Source organism: Homo sapiens, chromosome 21 (genome assembly GCF_000001405.40).
Source record: "Homo sapiens chromosome 21, GRCh38.p14 Primary Assembly".
Lineage (NCBI taxonomy): Eukaryota > Metazoa > Chordata > Mammalia > Primates > Hominidae > Homo > Homo sapiens.
The window spans coordinates 14,143,328-14,167,028 of NC_000021.9; the positions used below are offsets into that span (position 1 = coordinate 14,143,328).

The 23,701-nt window shown below is 33.1% G+C and overlaps 1 protein-coding gene and 1 pseudogene across 8 annotated transcripts in view; one reads left to right on the top strand and one right to left on the bottom strand.

Annotated features, from left to right (window-relative positions):
- The window catches only part of ERLEC1P1 (endoplasmic reticulum lectin 1 pseudogene 1), a 65,494-nt pseudogene extending 64,354 nt beyond the window's left edge, over positions 1 to 1,140 (top strand).
- LIPI (lipase I) overlaps positions 1 to 23,701 on the bottom strand; it is a 102,144-nt gene that overhangs the window by 34,516 nt on the left and 43,927 nt on the right. For 3 of the 8 annotated variants that reach the window (NM_198996.4, NM_001379566.1, NM_001302998.2), the window contains 5 exons: positions 23,035 to 23,124; positions 21,896 to 22,063; positions 20,092 to 20,196; positions 9,246 to 9,357; positions 1,296 to 1,472 (listed from right to left, as the gene is read on the bottom strand). In NM_198996.4, coding sequence (NP_945347.3) covers positions 1,296 to 1,472; positions 9,246 to 9,357; positions 20,092 to 20,196; positions 21,896 to 22,063; positions 23,035 to 23,124 — 652 coding nt within the window. Of the gene's footprint in view, positions 1 to 1,295; positions 1,473 to 8,968; positions 9,075 to 9,245; positions 9,358 to 20,091; positions 20,197 to 21,895; positions 22,064 to 23,034; positions 23,125 to 23,701 lie in introns of those variants that run through there. The other 5 variants (NM_001379565.1, NM_001303000.2, XM_006723965.4 and 2 more) reach the window with 5 other exon arrangements.

The following is a 23,701-nucleotide window of genomic DNA, read 5'->3' on the forward strand; positions in this document are numbered from 1 at the left end:
AACAATACAATTACTCCTAGATTTTTGCCATTATAGCAACATCTGATTTATTGACTTTTCAGTAACTAAATAATATCACACCAAAAGTTATAAAATGACTTCCCAACTCTCTTCTGTTGATATAGACCCCACCTAAATGTATATTATTATCATTTATTATTTTTATTTTTACTCTCCACAGGTTCTTGTGTACTATGTTTAACATTGACAAGAAGATAATTAGGAAATAAATATATATAAATACAGGAACATAAAGAGAAATAAAGAGGAAGCACCACAGTCAACTAAAAAAGAGAGATTCCCAGCAACCTACACAACCATTTCTATAGGCTCTCAGCTGATGCTTAGTGTTTGGACAACTCACACATGCAGATTGACAGATGACCAACTTATAAAAGAGATTTTTAATAATTCTTAATGATTTCACAGGGTGTTGTCAATGGAAATATGGATTCTTCTACAGCAAACATGTACATCTATATCATGTGGAACAAGGATAGTGGGAAAACCTCTGATTGTGAGGACGTAGAACTGAGAAGAGCATATGAAATGTCATAAGAAAAACACTTCTGGAGCATGTCGTCTTCAAGAAAATGGTGCCCAGACAGTCAGGATTGTGTTACATTTTAATAGGAATGGGGATATTTGTGATATACTGACAAACCAAGACAGGTGACTATAAAACTGCAATGTAAAGTGTCAGCTTCTCCTCACACCTTTATAGTAGACATCTGAGAACCTCACTCCTGTCAGCATATTCTTGGGGTTGAATCTCAAGTGATCCATAGAATCTTAGATAAAGCAGATGAAAATAGGCTTTTCTGTCTTCCTAAGTAAACAGCAATGAAGTTGAGAGAAAGAAGATATTGCTGGAAGTCATGATAAAGTCTATCTTCTGTGACCATATGTTTCCTTAGAGAGTTTTAGACATTGACCCTCATCTAAAAAATTGTGAAAAAGGACTCTCACCAGTCTGTTAATATGTATGTATATGAAAGAAATTACTGGTAAACTTCTAAGGCAGGCATTGGTGTTACTTTTTTTTATCTTTATTGTGTCTGTGAAATGATTGTGTGTATTTTTTCTTTGATTAGACAATGAGATTCCCAAATAAATTTTATTAAAGCCAAAAAAACCTTTATACCTTTTTGAGATTCTAATATTTATGTAAAATATAGTCTGAAATACACAATAAACAGATATTTGAATACATGAATTTTTAAACCATTACTTAAGAAACCAATATTTTCAAGTTTAAAAGATAACATGTTGAAATCAAAATTTAATTTTCTTACCTTTCTGGGTATGTAAGTGATTTTAACATGAGACTCTGGATCTTGTATGTGCATGTGGAACACTGCAGATTTGAGCTCTGGAAATATGTCAAACCAATGCTTGAAATATTTACAAAGTCATTATAAAATTGAGCAAGAATCTTGACTTCTTGAAGTTTATAAAATGGTTTGTTCTTTCTAGAGAGAAAATTTGATACACGCAGCATATTAATAATTTGAAACATAACTCAATTCTAAAATCAATATAATCCTAATAAGGGAGGCCACAGAGAACAAAATTATAGGGAAAAGGCCAAACAAAATATTATTGCAGTATTTATTAAAATAATTAAAACCGTAATTTATAACAGAACAAAATAATAAATGCAAAATAATAATAAATGCATTCCCTCATAGAACTATTTTGAAAATGCTTCTTTTGGGAAAAAGTGACATGTCTTTCTGAGTAGATGTCTAGATTTTACATTTGACTAGAATTAGAGAAGTCATCCTATATGTGTTTTTTACAGTTCCTTAAATAGACTAGGTGCTTAACGGACAACTTAAAAATATTTTATCAAATATTTTTGACCTAGAGCAATAACTTATAAAGGCCTGAGATTCAAAACAGAAATACAGTGTTTAATAAGTACAATTTTCTGTGCATTTACAATGTAATTAAGCTTTACATGCTTAACCTCATTTAACTACCTGAAAAACTCCTTTTATTAGGTACTATGAGTATTACCATTTTACAGATAAGAAAACTGAGCATCAGAGCATATAAATGTCTTTCCCAAAGCCACACAGCTAATAATGCTCCTCACTGCTCTGCTCAATTTCTCATCCCTATGTGCCAGAAATGTGGGTCCCTGGAGTCATTTATCTCAACCTGGGCTTTCATGACCCCAAGAGGAACTCCAGCTACTCTATTGCACTTTTTCTCACTAGAAAAAACTGATGGCAAAGAGGAGAAAGAGAAGGAGAAGGAGGAAGAAGAGGTGTAGGAGGAAGAGATGAAGGAAGAGAAAGAAAAGTAGAAGGCGGAGGTGGAGGAGAAGAAGGAGGAGAAAGGGAAGGGACTAAAGAAGAGGACAGAAGTGAAGGGAAAAAAAGTTTTTTAAAAAATCAGTTCAAAGAAGTTTCTCTTTTGAGCCAACAACAACTTGGTTAATCAAAGGTGACAATCACACAGAGAACAGCTGAAGAGTAACTAGTAGGGCACCCAGCACTCCCTGCCATCTCATATTTTTTCCTGCTCTCTTTTTGATTCCTTGCAGCAGTTAGACACCAGAAAAAGGACATGATCATTCTACTCAAAGTCCATTTCTGCTACCTCCTGGCAGGGTTACCACCTTCTTTTTCACAGACTATAATGTCATTAGATATATCACTAATGTCTTTCCATGAACATATCCAAATTTTTCAGTGATAATTCAAATTCAACATATCCAGATAGGAATGTGTTATCTTTCCATACAAACTCACAGCCACACCAGTGTTTTCAATTACCAACAGTTTGCTCATGACTACAAAATCTCTACCTTCAGCTAAGGCCTGTATGCTAAGTTTTAGTTACATGTATCCACTGTCATTTATCGTGTCCATGTGGATATCTTAAGGATGCCTGAAGCTCACTAGGTTCAAATCTAAATGACTCATCTTCTCCAACACTTTCTCCAACCAAAAAAAAAAAAAATACTAAAACTAAAACTTACATTGTCTCAGAGTATTAAATGGCATCACCACCTATTACCCAAGTCAAATAACTAGGATTCACCCTTGATAGTGCCCTTCTTTCAACCTCCACATTCAATCTATCAGAAATTTATATTGACTTTACCTCTGAAATATCAAAACTGATTTGAATCCCTCATTTTTCCATTTCAACTATAAACCTTCAAACCCAGGGCACCATTGTGTCATGTCTATATTCCTGCAACAGCATCTTGCTTTGTATCTCTCCAATCCACTGTGGTTAAATTGTTTTTCCAAAAGAAAAATCCAACTGTGGCCTCAACCTGACTGCCACAACTAAAATACTTCAGTGGTTTTCATGTGCCCAGTGAATAAAATATAAATTCTGGAACATGGCCTATGAGTTCTAATTTCTATAATATATCTAAGTGTTCTCTAGATTTCTCCTCTCTTTCTTACTTTCCCAGTCTCTATTTTTTTTTTTTTTTTTTTTTTTTTTGAGATGGAGTCTCACTGTCACCCAGGCTGGAGTGCAGTGGTGCAATCTCGGCTCACTGAAACCTCCATCTCCCAGGTTCAAGTGATTCTCCTGCCTCAGCTTCCTGAGCAGCTGGGACTACAGGCACACGCCACCACACCCAGCTAATTTTTGTATTTTTATTAGAGACAGGGTTTCACCATATTGGCCAGGCTGGCCTCGAACTCCTGACCTTGTGATCCACCCACCTTGAACTACCACAGTGCTGAGATTACAAGCGTGAGCCACCATGCCCAGCCCCAGCCTTTATTCTTAAACACACTAAACTGCCTTCAGCTCCTGAAGTGGGTCATGCTTCTCTATGCTTCAGATTTTCTGTATTTATTGGTCCTTCTGCCTAGAATGCAGTAGGGCAATGACTGCTGTTCACCATTCAGGACTCGACTAATATAAGCATCAATAGAGAAACTTTTAGTCACCCCACTAATTGACATCCCCTATTTTAATTTTCTATATACATTATGATTTATGTCAAGACTTTTTTATGAACAGATTTTACTTATATAATTTTATAATTATTTGACTATCCTTATATGTCTCATTATGCTACAAGCTTAATGAAGGTAAGACCATGACTGATTTTCTCACCACAGTATCCCCAGCACTTAACACAGTGCCTGGCTCCGTGTAGATAATCATTAAAAATTGTTTGAATAGTAGAATGATGGACATCGTTGTTTTATTTTTATTATTAATTTAAAATCTATCTGCTATAGACATCTAATTTATATAAGAGCAGACATTTAATTTGTCCAGAATTGTATCCCCTATTCCTAGCACAGATCCGGGTCTATAGAAGAACTCAATAATTTGTAATGAATGGATTAAATTGGATTCTCTCCATGTATCTTTTAGCTCAGTATAATAGCATTATACTTTTTAAATAGTCACAAAGCTCAAAACTTGAAGTCACTCTAGATTGGTTTCTTTCCTTAACGTTCACTTATTCAATTAACCATGCAAACACACAACATGTCTATTCTAAAGCCCCAAAACCTCTGGAATCTCCCTTACCCTGTTTTTTTGTTCCCACTGATTTGGATCCAGGCTCATGTTATCTTTCATATGAATTATCACAGTAACTACTTCTGTAGCCTCCTATCTCACGTCTTGCTCCCTCTAATCTCTCCATTACTCATATGTCTGGGCCATCTTTCTATCCTGAATATCCAATATTGATATTTCCCATTTAACATCCTATATTGGCATATTAATATATCTGGTCCAATGAATCATTAGTAGTATAGAAAAAATAACATTCAGTATAAAAATCAGGATGCAGAACACATTTCAATCAGATCCTAATTTTGCTAAATAAAAAAAATCATATGTCTGCACATAGGGGCATGTACAAGAAGGAGGAAGGGGAAGAATGATTATAAACCAAATGCAAAGTGTAGGTATTCCTGGATGGTATAATTACAGGTGATCCCTATTTTCTATTATATAATATTATACATTTTCTACAGTGAGTAAATATTCCTGTTTCCATTTTAAAAAGGAAAATAAAAGATCATTTAAAATTCTTTGACTCCTGTGCCATCTTAAAGACAATTAAAATCCCAAAACATAATTAAATGTATACTCATGTGCTGCACAATGATTTTTTTGTCAACAAAGGACTGAATATATGACAGTGGTCCCATAAAATTATGACACTATATTTTCACTGTACCTTTTTCTATGCTTAGATATTTTTACATAGACAAATATTTACCATTGTGTTACAATTGCCTCCAGTATTCAATACCGTAGCATGCTGTACAGGTTTGTAACTTATTGCTTCTAGGTTATAAACCTATGCTACACTCCATATAGCCTACGTGTGTAGCAGGCTATACCATCTAAGTTTGGACTCTATAATGTCCAAGCAATGACAGAATCACCTAAATATGCATTTCTCAGAGGATATTCCCATTGTTAAATGATGAATGACTGTATTAGCAAATAATTATTAACAGAAAAACAGTAAACCCATTAGCCAAGATTAGGTGGACAGATTACAACACATGCGTATATGTTCCTGTATTTTATATTCCTTCACAACAGTGCACTAACTAATCCAAGTAGCTGAATAAAATTAATCACTATTTCATGCTGTTCCACATAGAATATAATGTTTGTAAATTAACTCAAGACCAACAGTTTCTTTGCCTTCTGAACAAATTTGAAACATCTGTTCTAGGCCTGTGTTCATGTGCAATTTTTGAATTTAGATACTGTATTAGTCTGTTCTCATGTGGCTATGGAGAAATACCCAAGACTTGGTAATTTATAAAGAAAAGAGGTTCAACTGACTCAACAGGTCTGCATTGCTGAGGAGGCCTCAGGAAACTTACAAACATGGCAGAAGGGAAAGCAACATGACCTACTTCATATGGTGGCAGGAGAGAGAAGAATGAGAATCGAGCAAATAGAGAAGCCCCATATAAAACCATCAGATCTCTTGAGAACTTACTCTCTATCAAGAGAATAATATAGGGGAAACCACCCCTGTGATTCAATTATCTCCACCTGGTCCCGCCCTTGACAGGTGGGGATTATTACAATTCAAGGTGAGACTTCGGTAGGAACACAGAGTTAAACCAAATCATTCCACCCCTGGCCTTCCCAAATCTCATGTTCTCACATTTCAAAACACAATTATGCCCTTCCAACAGTCCCCCAAAGTCTTAACTCATTCCAATATTCACCCAAAAGTCCAAGTCCAAAGTCTCATTTGAGACAAGGTTAGTCCCTTCCACCTATGAGCCTGTAAAATCAAAAGCAAGTTAGTTACTTCCTAGATACAATGGGGGTACAAGCATTGGGTAAATACACCCATTCCAAATGAGAGCAATTGGCCAAAACAAAGGGGCTACAGGCCCCATCCAAGTCTGAAATCCAATAGGGCAGTCATTAAACCCTAAAGTTCCAAAATGATCCCCTTTAACTCATGTCTCACATTCAGGACACGCTGATGCAAGAGGTGAGCTCCCATAGCTTTAGGCAGCTCCACCCCTGCGGCTTTGCAGGGTACGGCCCCTCTTCCAGCTGCTTTCATGGCTAGCGTTGGGTGTCTGCAGGTTTTCCAGGTGCATGGTGCAAGCTGTCAGTGGATCTACCAATCTAGAGTCTGGAGGAATGTAGCCTTTTTTTCACAGCTCCACGAGGCAGTGCCCCAGTGGGAACTCTGTATAGGGCTCCAATCCCACATTTCCTTTCCACACTGCCCTAGCAGAGGTTCTCCATGAGGGCTCTGCCCCTGCACCAGATTTCCACTTGGAGCTCCAGGCATTTCCACACACCCTCTGAAATCTAGGTGGAGGTTCCCAAACCTCAATTCTTGTCTTCTGCAACCTACAGAACCAACAAGAATAGTATGGGGGAAACCACTCCCATGATTCAATTATCTCAACCTGGTCCAATCCTTGACACGTGGGGATTACTACAATTCAAGGTGAGATTTGGGTGGGGACAAACAGCCAAACTATATCAGGTACTCTCCTATCTCTAGGTTTTTGATACATGCTTTCTGTTCCCTGACTGTATTGCCTTGCTTTCAAATACTTCCTTGATTCTTCTCTGGGCTCCAACAGTACATTAAGTGATCTTCTTTTATAAAACATTTTACTAAAAGCTACAATTATGCATGAGTCTCCAGTATTCTGTGACTTTCTTGAGAACAAAATACTGTCTGTGTCAGTTTGGATCCCCATTATTTTGAGAAATGCCTGAATAAGTTTGATGCTGAATAATTTGAATAAGCAATTGAATCAATTTAATAGCCAAAAATCCTGTTTTTGATAAGAATAAATAATAGATCATGTGTGAATGTGTATGTATATACATACATAAATACAATTGTAAGCAATTTAAAGTAATGAACAATTATGGAATAATATTAGTTATTATTTTAGAACATTCAGTGTTCAAAATTAGGTGAAAAGGGCCGAAAAGTTTCTCTCAATAAAAGATGGGTCTTGACGAAAGTCAAGAATTTGGATTGGAATTTTTGTTTAATTTCTTTTATCTTCTTTGGGTGACGGAAGGTTAGTTTAAAAAGGGAAAGGAAAACGGATAATTGTTACTCTTTCACTACCAGTTCTATACGACTGTTAAATCATCTGCAATGTCTTTATTAACTTTAAGAAAATTACATTTATACAATCTAATATTAAACATATGTTTATCCAAAATTTTAAACATTTTGCTGGACTTGTAACCCAGGGTACTATCTCAGGATAATCATGGCATCCCTTGATGGAATGGTTTTTATGTTACTTCAGTACACAGGTATTTTATATTTTCGTTATGGTGAACTTATCATTATTTTCTTTGTGGATTCCAATGTTTGAAAGGTTTACCTACTATTATGAGCTATGGCTACTTTTTATATTTTAATATCGTTTCAGATTTTACCTGTGCTAATAATACTGTAACATTAAATACTTTCACTGCCATTGTTTGTGAATGTGCAAATAAATAAGTAGTCAGGGACTTTCTCCTGGCTCACAGAGTTTAGATGTCACTATGTACTCAGGTCCAAGGTCCATCGCACATTAATTTAGTTAATTAGTTAATTTATGTACTGTAACTACCTATACTGTGACAGCAGTAAATGTTGGAAATACCAACCATGCTTCCTGAAACCCTAATGTGTTCAATAACCAGTCAAAACTTAAGCCAAATTGCTCTGTCTATCCACAACAAAATACACTTTTATATTTCTTTTAATCACTAGATATGGTGTCTGTGAGCCTTTTGAAAATCGTTTCATCATTTAATGGCTAGTTAGAAGTCTAGCACAGCAGGTTGGAAACCACAACTATATGGTAGTGTGCCCGTTTATATCATTCTTTTATTTAAGAAAAAAATAATTTTCTAGTTTAAGAATTTATTAAACACAGAAATATATATTCAACAAGCTCAAGCCAAGAGCATTCTTTTATATAATTATATAACCTTAAAATATGTACACACACTTGCACATACATATGTACATACATAAAAAGTTAAATAAAAGATTGAGAAAAAAACAAAACCCTCCCCTATTGTTTGGGAGCCTTGTAGGTGGGAATAGTTCTCTGAAACACTAAAATTGTGTCACTCTATTTAAAGAAGTCACATCACTGTGAACATGATATTAACTGAAAACTGGAGGGAATTAGAAGGCAATATGGTTAGGAAAAACACTCCAATGAGAGTCATAAGAGAGAGAAAGACACAAAGTCGTCTTTTACTCTTTAACTTATTTTATTTATTTATTTATTTATTTATTTATTTATTTATTTATTTATTTGAAATGGAGTCTTGCTCTGTCACCCAGGCTGGAGGGCAGCGGTGCAATCTCAGCTCACTGCAACCTCCACCTCCTGGGTTCAAGCAATTCTCTTGCCTCAGCCTCCTGAGTAGCTGGGACTACAGGCACGTGCCACCATGCCCAGCTAATTTTCTGAATTTTTAGTAGAGACAGGGTTTCACCATGTTAGCCAGGATGGTCTCCATCTCCTGATACGCTTAGAACTTTTAAAGTCACTAGTTGTTTAGAGTAAGGGTGCCTCTTTAACATATGTTATCTTTCTCTGTAAAATAAAGGAATTAGAATATAACATATGAGATCCTTTTAATATTTAACATTTTAAGACTCTCTAGATTAAAAAATAAACTACACTATTTAAATTATCTGTTGGATGGGATACTGAAGAAAGCAAACATTGAATATATGAGAGAAGAAAATAGTAAATTTTACTTACTCATAAAGCCTTGGCTCTTCAATCATTCCAAGCTGATTTAATAATTTAAATGAAAACGAGCCATCCATCATAGTTTTATCTGGAACAATTATACTGAGAACAAAATAATAGGCTACAAAATAAAAATATAGAATACAACTCACATTATTTTTTAATTTTTGGTTTTGGTACATATTCAGATATATATATATGTGTATGTATAGATAGATATGTAATCTAGGCTCATATTACATATGCAAATAATATTATTGAGAGGACTCATTTGGTAAATGGGTAATATATTTTACCTTTTGTTTGTCAATTTTTGACTACTCTTAAACATGAGAGATGAAAAAGCCTGCCAGCCAGTAATGGGTATGGTGAAGTATTGAACAAATAGATCCTAAATACTGGCTTGTCTGAAAAACAAAAACTTTTCAGAAATTAGGCCAATTAAGCAACTTTTACTTTTCAATAGCAGATCTAAGGTGAATATGGTAAGATTTCTTAATTATCTGATTAATAGTACCAGCTATTGCTTGCCAAACGTAAGTCCTAATTTCACTGGCTGTTCCAGAATGACTGTGAATATATATATAAGGTAAGGTCATAGCAGTTCTTATTCAAATTGCCTTTACTAAACTTTGGTAGAGTATATCTTGCACAGGAAAGGATGCTGAACTCACTTCTATATATTGCCAGGCCTGTACAGGAAATTTTGACTACAGGAGTTATCCCAAGTTTTGTGCACCCCCCTTCTAGAACAGAACGGATTTATAATTGGATTTTCCCCATTTCTGACACAAGAGGTATAAGGAAACACTTCTCACTTTGAAGTTACCTCACAGCCTTAGGCAAAGTACTTTGATTCACCTTGCCCATATAAATGGGCATTCAGACTTGCTCAGATTATTTCTGACAGCACAGAATATTGAGATGTTACAGATTAAGCCACCCTCCCACTATAAATACATGGAAATGCTAGGTGTACAATCCATGTTTCAATATGCAACCAAGCTCTGAAGAAGGAAGGGGAAGTGTCAGAAAGCAGAAACAAAGAGAAATTAAAGCCAAGGCCAGAAGAACTGAAGCCCTGGACCCCTCTGGGACTTCAGAGCCTGTTGTAGCATGAAGATGGAGGCTGAAGTGTCAACCTCCATGCAGGAACAGGAGAAATGATGCTAAAGGACAAAGCTGAAATGGAGGTCCCTGCACAGAGCCATAAACCTCATAATTGAAATTCCCTGACCCATCATTGAAAGAGGAACTAGGAAAATTCTTCCTATTTTTTCAGTCTGGGTCTTACGTGAAAACATAAATTGTTTCTTGAGATTAAATAAAACTCCAGAAAACATGAAATTTAAGTTTACACTATTTATATGTTGAAAGACCCCCACAAATTTACATTAAAATGCTTCAGGATTGTGGTAATATGGTTCTGAAAAAAGAAAATCTGACTTGCTCTGAAGGGGAACTTTGAAGAAGAGCTGATTTCTGAGAGTTTTTTATATCAAAGATAGACATGAATCTCTATTTTGAAGTAGCACAAATAGGTTTTTTTTAATTAATTTTTAATCCAGACTTGACAAACCACTGAGACTGGAAAATAACAATATAAAAAAATAAATCAATGAATACATTCAGTCTGATGAAATGATAGATTATCTTCACAGAAAAATTAGATAGAAGATAAATGAAAAAAAGTGTATCTGAAAACAAGAGAAGTCGTATTTTCAATGTGCTGAGCATATAAACTTTCAATATAGAATTCTGTCCTAAACTATCTTTTCATTTCTGACTGAGGGAAGGATAAGGACATTTTCAGGAAAGACAAAAAAAGAAAAAGACTGAGAAAGACTACTATTGAAAAGCTACTACTAGGATATACTTCAGCAAGAAAAACGTTAAAACCAGAAGGAAGGAGTTGAAGGAGGGAATAAGACAAAATGTAGAAAACTGAAATTGGTAAATATAAGGAAGTATTTGATGATACTATTTATAATTAATATGTATTATTAAATGAGAAATGGAAGGAAAATACTACAGGATATAATATTGAAGATAGAAAAGAAGAATAAAGATTCTAAGGCTCTCTGAGGCAACTTGTAGCTGTGACAGAGTCTGATAAAATAGTCTGTGAAGCAAGATCCATATTCATGTATAAATGCATAAAAAGCAAAAAAATAAGTTAGTCGCTGAGAAAATATGATGTCCCAAAAGTTTTATGCATCTAAAAATCACGGCCTTGGAATATCTAAAGCCAACACCTAAACAGAGGAACTGCCCGCTAAAATAAAAGTTTTAAATAGATCTCAGATTTTGACACAAGAGATACAATGTCCAAGATATGATCAAAAATTGCCCATAATACCAAGAACAAAGAAAATCACAACATTGTTAAGAAAATTACCTGATGCTAACCCTGAGATAAATTAGATGCTGAGATTATCTGACATTTATTTTAAAGGAGCCATCACAATAATGATTCAAAGTTAACATGTCTCTTGAAAAAATGAGAAAAAATTAAAACCTTAGCAAAGAAAAAAAGTTGTAAAAGAAAAAATGAAGTTACAGAAACAAAGGTGGCTCCATCGTGCAATGAATAGTGCATTGGACTTCCAAAATTACAGAAACAAAAAATACAATTGCAGATACAAAACTCACATGATATACTCAATAGTGAGTAGAGATAATAAAAGAAGAAATCAGTGAACTTGAGGGCCAGTCAATCTTAATGACAGAGAAAAAAAGATGGAGAAAAATAAATGAACAAAGCCTCAGGGATCTGTGGGACTATAATAAAAGATGTAATATTTCTGCTATTAGAGTGTCAGAAAGAGAAGAGAGTGTGGGGCTGTGACATGATGCCTGGAAACTTTCTAAATTTGGTGAAAAAAATAAACACAGATTGAAAAAGCTAAGTGAACCTGAAATATAATAAACTTCATGAAATTCTAACCAAGAGACATCATAATAAAGCTGCAAAAGTAAAAACAAAGAAATAAAAGTCTTGAAAGCAGCCAGAAAGAAATGATGCATTACCTACAGGAGAACACCAGTTTGAATCATAATGGATTTCACATCTGAAAGTCATGGAGGTCAAAAGAAAATATAACATTTTTCAAGTGCTGAAAGAAAATACTGCCAACCTCAAATCTTACATCCAACAAAACTGTCCTTTGAGAATGAAGGGGAAATAGAGACATTGTCAGACAAAGAAACAGTAAAAAACAAATCTCACTAGCAGAATTATCCTTAGAGATAGTCAGAAGTAATTTCTTCATACAGAAAGGAATTAATGAAATAATCATGAATCATTATGAAGAAAGAATGAACAATGAGAAGAGAATAAATATGGGTACATACAATAGGTTATCTTTTTCTCATTGATTTTGTAAATGTTAAGGATTGAAACAAAAATTTTTACACAATCTAATATTCAAAATCATGATAATTAAATGTGGGGAATGTAAAGGGGCCTACATGGAAGTGAGGTTTCCACATTTTACTTCAAATGGTTAAATGTTGGAATCATTAAACAGTGATGAATAATGTATGCATATTGTAATTGTTGTAGGCCTCCCCAAATATATCCTTGTCCTAATCCCTGGAACCTACAAGTATGTTATCTTATATAGCAAAGGATAATTAAGATTGCAAATAAAATTAGAGTTGCTAACCAGCTATTCTTAAAATAGCGACATTTTATTGAATTATCTAGGTGGACCCAATGTAATCACAAGGGGCCTTAAAAGAGGAAGAGGAAGAGGAAGACAAAAGAGGAGAATCAGAAACAGAGATGTCGTGCAGAAAAAGGGTCAAAATGATATAATATGAAGACTCAGCCCACTAATGTGAATGAAAAGGCCACAAGCCAACAAATATGAACAATTTCTAGAGCTGGAAAAGTTAAGAAAGTATATTCTCCCCTGAGCCTCCAGAAAGGAATGCACCTGCTAACACCTTGACTTTAGCACAGTGACATCTGTATTAGACTTCTGGACTACCGAACTTTAAGATAGTATATTTGTGTTGTTTTAAGCCACCAAATTTGTGGTAATTTGTTAGTGTAGTTATAGAAAATCAATATACATTTTGATACAAATAATGTGATATAGCTATAAAAAACATATACAAGTGGAAAAGTGGCTTCTAAATTAGAAATAAGAAGAAGCTGGAAAAATTTTTAGGAACATAATAGGAAAGCCTAGATTTCCTTGAATAAATTGTTAGTTTATTCAACTAACTAGAAATGTGCTAGTAAGGACACAGGAGGAAATAAGGAACATGGCAGAGAAAATACACATTACAAAAAGGCTGTTGGTGAGAAATATGGATGTCTAATGGAATGAATAAGGATGTTAATCTTGCCGTCATTGAGGACTCAAACGGAAATTAGAAATATATTATTGGAAACTGGTAGAAGAAGAATCCTCACTACATCGTGGCAGGTAGCTTAGTGGAATTATGTACTGCAATTTATGTGGAAAGCAGAAATTGTAAATGAAGAAATTGGAAATTTAACCAAGGGGATTTATAAGACAGGGGTTGAAAGTGTGGCCAGATTTCTCCTTGGTGCTCATCATGAATTGTGTGAGGAAAGACAGAAATTGAGATGAAACCGTTAAATTAAAAAGAATCCTGACTTGCTGATTTGGGAAATCCTCAGCCTAGCAAGTTTACTAAGATACCCATGTTAAGAAATTTATCAATGGGAAATGAAGCTCTAGAGAAAAAGCTGAGGGTGTAGCTGGCACAACCTTTTCCCTCAGAAAGATTTTAAAAATCAGAGCATTTAGTCACACAAAAGGGTCTTTGAAAATATTAAGCACATGACTCACAGATTCCTTTAGCCATCTTGGCAGAGGCCAATAATAGAGGCAGGATTGTCTAGAAAAAATATGGAGGAGTCTCTTTTTTAATAGAATGACTCTCTGTGACATATACGGAGATCCACCAGGCTTTGGAGAACGTTATAGTGGTATAAATAGTGCCAACTTGGACTAAAAGCAACAGAGTATAAAATGAGAAAAAGTTTTGAGGCCTGGAAAACGTCTACAAACAAGAAACAAGATGAAAAAACTACTCAGATGCAAACATATGCTACCATTTCTACATTTAAAGAAGAAGGGGGTGAAAGAAAGAGAGAAGGACTCTAAGAGACCAACATGCGAAGCCATGAACCCAGGGAGCAGAGCCATGAACCACAGAGAATTATTCCCAGGCCTTTAAATCAGATGGAGTTTGCCTGGCTGAATTTAAAAATTGCATGGAGTGTTGACTCTATTTTTCTTCTACTTTTCTTCTCTTTGAACAAGAATGCTATAACTGGTATCGTATCCCTGTCTCATCACTGTATTTGAGGGGGAGGTAATTTGATTCCTGAGATTCACAGGTTCACAGATGAAGAAAAATTATGTCCAAGTACTTATATCCAGAGCTGTAGCCAAATCTGATTTAGATGAATTAGGCAACAAGATTTAGAACTTTGTATCTGTTGAGTTTAGAGGAGATTTTTTACTTTAAGTTGATGCTGTAATGACTTGATGATGTCTGAGATCAACCAACAAAATATTACTTTATACCCAAAAAAGCAGAATACACATGTATTGCCAGTACACATGAAGCATGAGCCTAAAGAGATCAATGCTTGACTACTAAAATACCTCAGGACGTTGTTAAAAAATTTATACAGAGTTTGATTTCTAGCCATAATAAAATTAATCTAAAGGTCAGTAACAGACAACAGGAAAATTTCTAAACTGTGGAAATTCAACAGCGTGCTTATAAATAACCCATGGTCAAAGAAGAGTTCTCTAAAAAATACATAGAACAGAATAAAAAAGATACAACATATCAAAACACATGAGACACAAATCAGGCAGTACTGAGAGGAAATTTCACAGACTAAATGATTACATTAGAAATGAAGAAATATCTGAGGCCAATAATTTAAGTTTCTGCCTCAAGAAAATAGAAAAAGAACAAAATAAACCCAAATAGAGTAGAAGAAAAGATGTGTGTGTAGAAATATATATTTTATATATATATTAAAATATATATATGTGTGTGTAGAAATATATATATAGAGAGAGAACAAAGCAGAAATTAATGAAATTTAATAACAGAACATGATAGAAAATTAAACAAAAATCTGATTCTTGAATAAAAACCAATAAAATCGATAAACCATTTTGTCTAGCAAGACAGACAAAATAAAAAGAATCAAGACACAAATCACTGTTAGGAATAAAACAAAAGGCATTACTAAAGATAATGCAATCATTAAAAAGATAAATTTTAAAAAACCTACTGTTCACAATTCAACACCTTAAAAAAAAGGACCAATTCCCCAAAAACCACAAACTACAAAACCTCAACCAAGCTGAAATAGATAATCCAAATAGTCTTAAAATTATTAAATAAATTAAATTTGTAGTAAAAACTTCCTCCCAAAAAAGTCTCCAGACCCAAATGGTTTCACTGGAAAATTCTGCCAAACATTTAAAGAATTAACACAAATCTTGCACGATCTCTTTCAGAACAGACAACAGAGAAGGGAAAACTTGCCCACTTTTTTTATGACGTTGTATTATTATAGTAGTACGAATACGCTATTACTGTTATGCCAAAACCAGACAAAGACAATAAGAAAGGAACACTACTAACAAATACCTCTTATGAACTTAGAAAAATTCTCAACAAAATATTAACGAATGAAATTCAACAATGTATTTTAAAATACGCACTAAGCCCAAGTAGAATTTATTACTGGAATGCAAAGCTTGTTCAACATTCTAGAATCAATTAATATAGTTCAACATATCAACAAACTAAAGAAAAAAATTATATGATCATATCAATTATGCATAAAAAGCATATGGCAAAATCCAACACATATTTATGAGGTAAAATTCTTGGCAAGTTAGGAATAGAGGGGAACTAACTCAATTTTATAGTGTATCTACAAAAAAAACTATAAGTCACATCACACTTTAATGGCAAAAGATTGGATTTTTTTTTTCTCTAAGGCAAAGGTATCTGTGCTTACCACTATTATTCAAAATAGCACTGGAAGTTCTAGCCATGGCAGCAAGTAGATTTAAAAAAATTAAATGCACACAGATTGTAATAGAAGAAATAAAAGCATTCTTATTTGCAGAAAACATAATTGCTTACATAGAAAATTCCAATGAATCTATTGTTTTAACCTAGAAACAATAAATGAATTCAGCAAGTTCCCAGGAAACAAATTCAACACAAAAGATGCGATCTCATTACTATATACCAACATTGAATGTGGAGATACCAAAATTTAGAAATACATTTTACAATTACTCCCCAAAATGAATATGTGGTATACACACAACAAAAGATGCACAGGATCTGTATGTTGAAAATTGTAAAATGCTGACTGAAGAAATCAAAGAATCAAAGTATATGGAAAGACATACCATATTCATGAATTAGAATATTCAGCATGGTAAAGACATCAGCTCTCCCCGAATTGAAAGATGTGGTTAATGTAATTTCTGTTGAAACCTCAGACAAATTTTTGCAAATATAGACAACGTTATGCTAAAATTTATATTGAAATGTACATACACTAGAAGATCTAAAATAATCATGACAAAGAAGAATGAAGAGGAAATAATCAGTCTACTTGATATTAATGCTTACTATATAGCTACATTAATTAAATGCTATGTGGTACTAGAAAAAGAAATGAACACATACATAAATGAAAAAATATACATATCAAAATACAGACCCAACACAAATAGGTACAAACATATGTCAATAAACATATCGATATATATTGATATCTATATTATATATCTCATCTACAGAGATATATTTTAACCAATTGTTGATAAAGATGCAAAAGCACTTAATAAAAGAGAATCTATCAACAAATGATGCTGGAGCTATAAAAAAAACTAAATAGAAATGGATTTCAGATGTAAATGTAACACATAGAACTATTATTTTTAGAAAAAATTACAGGAGAAAACCCTCAGGACCTAGGGCTCAACACAGAGTTCTTAGACTTGACACCTAAAGCGTGATACATACCTAAAATAATGATCAATTACTCCTCATCAAAACTAATCACTTTTTCTCTGCCCATGCTTTTGTGAAACAGATAAAAAGACAAGTTACAAACTGTATGAAAATATTTGTAGATCAAATATTGACAAGGACTAGTTTAGAAATTATATAAAGAATTATCAAAAGTCAACAGCTTAAAAAAAAGCCCAATTGAAAAATATCCAAAAGACACGAATACACATTTCACCAAAGGTGATAAGTAGAAGAAATAGTCAATATAATCATCCATCAGGGCAATGAATACTAAAACCACTGAAGCATCACTGTATGCCTGTCAGAATGCGTAAGAATTTTTAAAATAATGACACCACCAAATTCTGAAAAAAATCGGAAAAATTAGATCACTTATATTTTAATTGGGATAATGTAAAGTGGTACAGTCACTCCAAAAAAATGTTAAATTTTTTCAAAGCTAAATGTGCAATTAGTTTCTGTCCCAGCAATAACACTCCTGGGAATTTATGACAGATAAATGAAGACATATTCACACAAAAACTTATACACTATATTCAAGCAGCTTTATTTGTCATAGCCAAAACCTTAAAACATCCCAGATGCTCTTCAACAGGTGATTGGTTAAACAAATGGTGGCACATCCTGTATCTATGTAAATGTATACGTATATTCCATAAATAGTATCTATATATCCCTATAGATATATATGTAATATATAGTTATATATAATATATAGTAATATAGGTAATATCTATTATATATGACATATAATATCTATGTTATATATGTATATTATATATACATGAGTATAATATCAATATATATTATATATAGATATTATATAGCTATTATATATAGAAATAGATCTAATATATAGATATCTATAATATATAGATATATAGATATAGATATAATATCCATATCTATTATATATTAATATATTATATCTATTATATATATAATATATATCTATATAATATATTAATATATAATATACATATATAATATATTAATATATAATATATACATTATTATATATTAATGTATAATATATACATTATTATATATTAATGTATAATATATACATTATTATATATTAATATATAATATATACATTATTATATATTAATATATAATATATACATTATTATATATTAATATATAATATATACATTATTATATATTAATGTATAATATATACAAATATATATTAATATATAATATATACATTATTATATATAATTACATATAATATAACATATATTATATTAATATAATATAGATATATAACATATAGATATATGTATTTCTCTATTTATAGATATATAGATATATTATTTCACTCAGCATAATTCCCTGGAGGTTCATCCCTGTAGCATATATCAATGATTCACTATACCTTTAGTTGCTGAGTAGTATCCCATAGGAACATATCTCTACCCCTATTGATAGATAGATAGATAGATCAATATGTATTGATATATATATCATATCTCTGGATATATTACTATGGAATACTACTCAGCCACTAAAAGTATAGTGAATCACTGATACATGCTACATGGATGAACCTCCAGGGAACTATGCTGAGTGAAAAAATAAGCCAATTAAAAAGGTCACATGCTGGATGATTCTCTTTATATAACAATCTTGAAATAACAAAGTTCTAGAAATGTGTGAATGGATACCGGGGGGATGGGGTACGTAGTTTTAAAGGCACAACACAAAGATTCCTTGTGGTGATGAACTGTTCAGCAGCTTCATTGTGGTGGTAGATACAGAGCCCTATAAATATGACTATTTTGTATGGAGCCAAATACACATATAGCCACACACGCAGGCAAGTGTATAGGAAAATCTGATTAAGATGGGTGCATTGTATCAATGTCAATATCCTGCTACTACTCTATGGCACTGCAAAATGTTTATCATTTAAGGAAACTAAAGTATATACAGTATCTCTGTGTATGATTTCTTACTTCTACATGTAAATCTAAAATTAACTCAATAAAATTTTTAATTTGAAAAATGGACAGCCCCAATTCTGTTTGACAGGACACATCACTAATGTTTGAAGAATAATATATTGAAGTTGGCAGTGACTGTGACTGGAAGACATTAAAAATGACTGACCTAAAATATTTTATGAGAATCTATTTTAAGTACTTATCTCTCAGTAATCAAAATTAATGACAGTAATTCAAAACTTCCTCCATAAGATTCTTCACATAAAAAGGACTCATTTTATTTACAAACCACTTCCAGTTTTTCATTTCCAAACAGAATAATTTTGCTTTCTTTAATACTTCCTTATAAATCTATTATTTATTATATTTCTATGAGATTCTCTCTTCTTCTACAAGTTTTCTCCTCTTACCTAACTCTAAATGTATTATGAGGATTACTACTTTCTTGTCCTTTTTTATATTTATATATTAATAATCTAGTTTTATTAATAATGGGTGTTCAGACTGTATATATATATATATATCATAGGCTCCTTAATATGTTACATGCCAAAATAACTCTAGAGGTGAAAAGGGCAATATGCAAATTTAGGATGAAGGAATGCAACCTTGATTGTTTCTTTGGGAAAATATTACCCAAGCGTCTCTCCATTTTATCTAAAAAAAGATCAAGTCCTTAGTTGAATTTGTCCCACTGGCTATAGCAAATTTTAAATTTGCCTGAAAGAACATGATGGAATTTGAGTGGGTGCAAAGAACACTTTGAATCAAATGTAGATTAGTGCAAAAAAAACTAAAAATTTGTTTATTTGTTAAAATTGTTAATAACTTACTACAGAATGGATATGTACCACTTGTATCCAAAAACACAGTGGTCCTAAGAGGTCTTCCTTCCATCCTTTCTTTTAAAACACCTTTAAATAGCTTGGCTTGATAACCTGAGATTTGAGAAATAGAACATTAGAAATTGGATTTCCATCAAATAACAAAAATGTCAAATCACTAAAGTAACTAAAAGATCAGTGCATATAATCATCATAATGATCATCATGGATTTTGATAACTTAAAAAGCATTTTTTCAAATAATGTAGCATTCCATTTATTTTAATTACAATAACAACTCTTAAATTCAGGATTCACAAATAAATCTGCTCCCTGAAAATCTTATCAGAGCTTAGCATACTCCATCCGTATGGCTATAGTCCATTTGTAGAAGTTTTACTGTTATAAATTCAGGATTTTACCTGTAATTCCTTCTAATAAGTTCAGCAGAGTAAATTGACTACATAAAACTTAAACATACAATATAGCTCCATGAGTATAGCTCCCTAATTCTCCAATACGTATAATACATACAGATATGGCATGCATGTGTATACATTATATATATTATATATATGTAGTATAGGTATACTTTACATGTACTGTATGTTGTGCATATAATATACATATTTCAGATACATATGTGTACATATAAAATATTTATTATATATAATATGTTGATATATTGATAAAAATTACTTATAAAATAAAGTTTATGTTAATATATATTTCATATGCCTCATGTATTTCTTTGTTCCCACATTGCTACCTCCAAATTTGAGATTTGAATATGGTAGAAAGAATAGTAAATTAAGAATTCAGAGGTTTTACTCAAGTTCTAACTTATGCCTTTATGTGATTTATATATTCACTCTGGGTTACAATTTCTCATTACATGGAAGAAGGATGGGGCCAGAAAAGCAATCCACAACAGGAGGTCTGAAGAAAACTAATCCCACATGGTGTCTTATAGACAGAAAAGTCTATGAGAAAAATCAAATTGGCAATGCCTGAACAGTGCATACCCCTCCTAGGGTGTTCTCAGTGTGTGCTGATCCTGCTTCAGCAGTTGGTTTAATTTAGCCTTTGTAATCACTACCTATTCCTCGAACCCCTTTGGCTTTGGAAACATCTCTGGGGAATTCTGCCATGATACTGACCAGATGTTTACATGCTCATGGCATGCTTGGATCTGGTGCTCTTTTTGAAAAACCCTGAGCAAACAGCCTCTGAAATTCTTTCCAGTTCCAATATTATATTTTTATGTGGATTTTTTTCTCTATAATTCCCTATTGGCAGGTTTTAGTTATCAGAAGTAGCAATACTTAACTGCTCTTAGCAGGTTTATCCATTTAGAAGGTATGAACCATGTTTCATGTCTACTTGGTGATAGCAAATGAGAAGCTAACCATGGCTCACACCTCTTCACTTGTTCCTAAAATCTCAAAAAAACAAAAAAACCTCAGTGTTGCCAAGACTGTGCAAGTTTCTTTCTTTAAGTGAAAATATAGTTGGATGATAGTTAGATATTTTTGTACATCAGGAACAAGAATCATTATAAAGCCATCTAATCTGCCCACTACACTGAACATAAAAAGGCAGTTGATCATGTTCTTCTCTTTAAATATATTAAAAATGTTTAGTAGGGAATGAAATATTTACTCTGTACCACATCTCTACAGATGATTTTTCCATAAAATGGTCATGTATTAACAAGTAAACAGAGTGCACAGTTTAGCTTCCAGCAGAAAATACTAACAATTATGTTATTCATATTAAATAAGAATGATAGTAACTATAATAATCTCTCTTACCCAGCCGAGGACATGATTTTTCCTTAAAACAGTCACAGTCCACACATAAGCTAGTCTTGTAATCTTTGTATGAACGACAAGGAAATGAAATAAAATTGCAGTTTGTTTCTAAAGATGCCATGAACAAGTGAACTGCTCTCTGGTGGTTGCATTTAATGAATTGAATTCCTTAAGGGTTAAAAAAAAAACAAAGAACTGTAGATGTATTAAGCCATGTTCAAGTACATTTAAAAACAAAGTAAAGATGAAGTTTTGCTAAATACTATGTACCTTATGAATATTACTGACTATAATACACAGTTTTATGTCAAACCACTAAACAAATAGTACCAATGAAAACTTAAATTTAGTATGTCTTTTGCATGAGATTTATAATGAATTTTTAAAGTAATAATTAACATAGCAAAAATGTTTCATTTCAGTGTTTCACAAGCTCTACACAGTGCTACTATACTTAATAACTAGTGTACACATCTTTTCCTTCTAATACTGCACTCCTAACATTTCCACCTAATGACAAAGATGACCATGAAACCAGCTGACCTTAAAACTTTATTACCTTCCTTTTCTTTTCCAACCTTGCACATCCTCCTCCTTTTCACCAAACTTCTTTAGCTACAGTGCCCTTTGGTCACGTGTTATTTGACCAGTTGCCGTTGTGGACCTAAGAACATTTCTTGCAATGGCTCTGATGTGAGCCAAATTCCACACCTGGGGAAGTTGCTCAGCTATCTTTATGTACAGAACAATCAAGTGTCAAGAGTTTTTACAATTGTCTTTGTACAGTAATATGGTGATGGTTAAGATTAAATCCTGAGATCAAAGTTGTATTATATGATACTTGAGCTACATGTGCTTCCTCAATGACTTACGACTTCTCCTAATGTTTAAAATGATGGAATAAAATTATTAAAAATATAATATAAGAGGTCTCATCCATGACCTAATGGATGTCTACTGGTAACCTTTATGAACTAAGCATGGTCAAATTAAACCATTGTTAACCAATGACTCTCCTGAGTCATGGGCAATGATGATGAAATCAAAACACTGCCTACAGATTAAGAGGGGAAAAGTAAGTTATTTTCTTTCATCATTTCGAATATTATGTAGTTCATTCAAAAATACTGTCAGTATACCTGAGAAAATTGATTTAGGACAGCCAGGTTGTTTATTTCCTCCATTTGGATAAAAATCTATATGTCCCAAGGGCTCTTGAATGCCTAAACCTGAGAAGAAAGGCACCCAAGAATCACAACATGTATATAATCAGGTGAGTATCTTGCATAAAACAAAATAGCCTATAAAATCCATTGAAAGTTACTCTTTAAATATTAGAATTGAAAATAAGTGCTGTTTTTATAAAGATAAGTTTTTCTTCTATAATTCCTTCATGAAAAGTATATTTCATTAATTTAATATATTTGCCAGTCAGCAGTTTACTATCGGTCAGTCACAGTTTTTTGTGGTATGACCGCATAAGTGAAAAAAGAAATAGAGAGGGCAGCCAAGATGGCCGAATAGGAAGAGCTCCAGTCTTCAGCTCCCAGTGTGAGTGGTGCAGAAGGCAGGTGCAGAAGGCAGCATTTCCATCTGAGGTACCGGGTTCATCTCACTAGGGAGTGCCAGACAGTGGGCGGAGGAAAGTGGGTGCAGCGCACCATGTGCAAGCCGAAGCAGGGTGAGGCATTACCTTACTCGGGAAGCACAAGGGATCAGGGAGTTCCCTTTCCTAGTCAAAGAAAGGGTGACAGATGGCACCTGGAAAATCGGGTCACTCCCACCCTAATACTGCGCTTCTGCGAT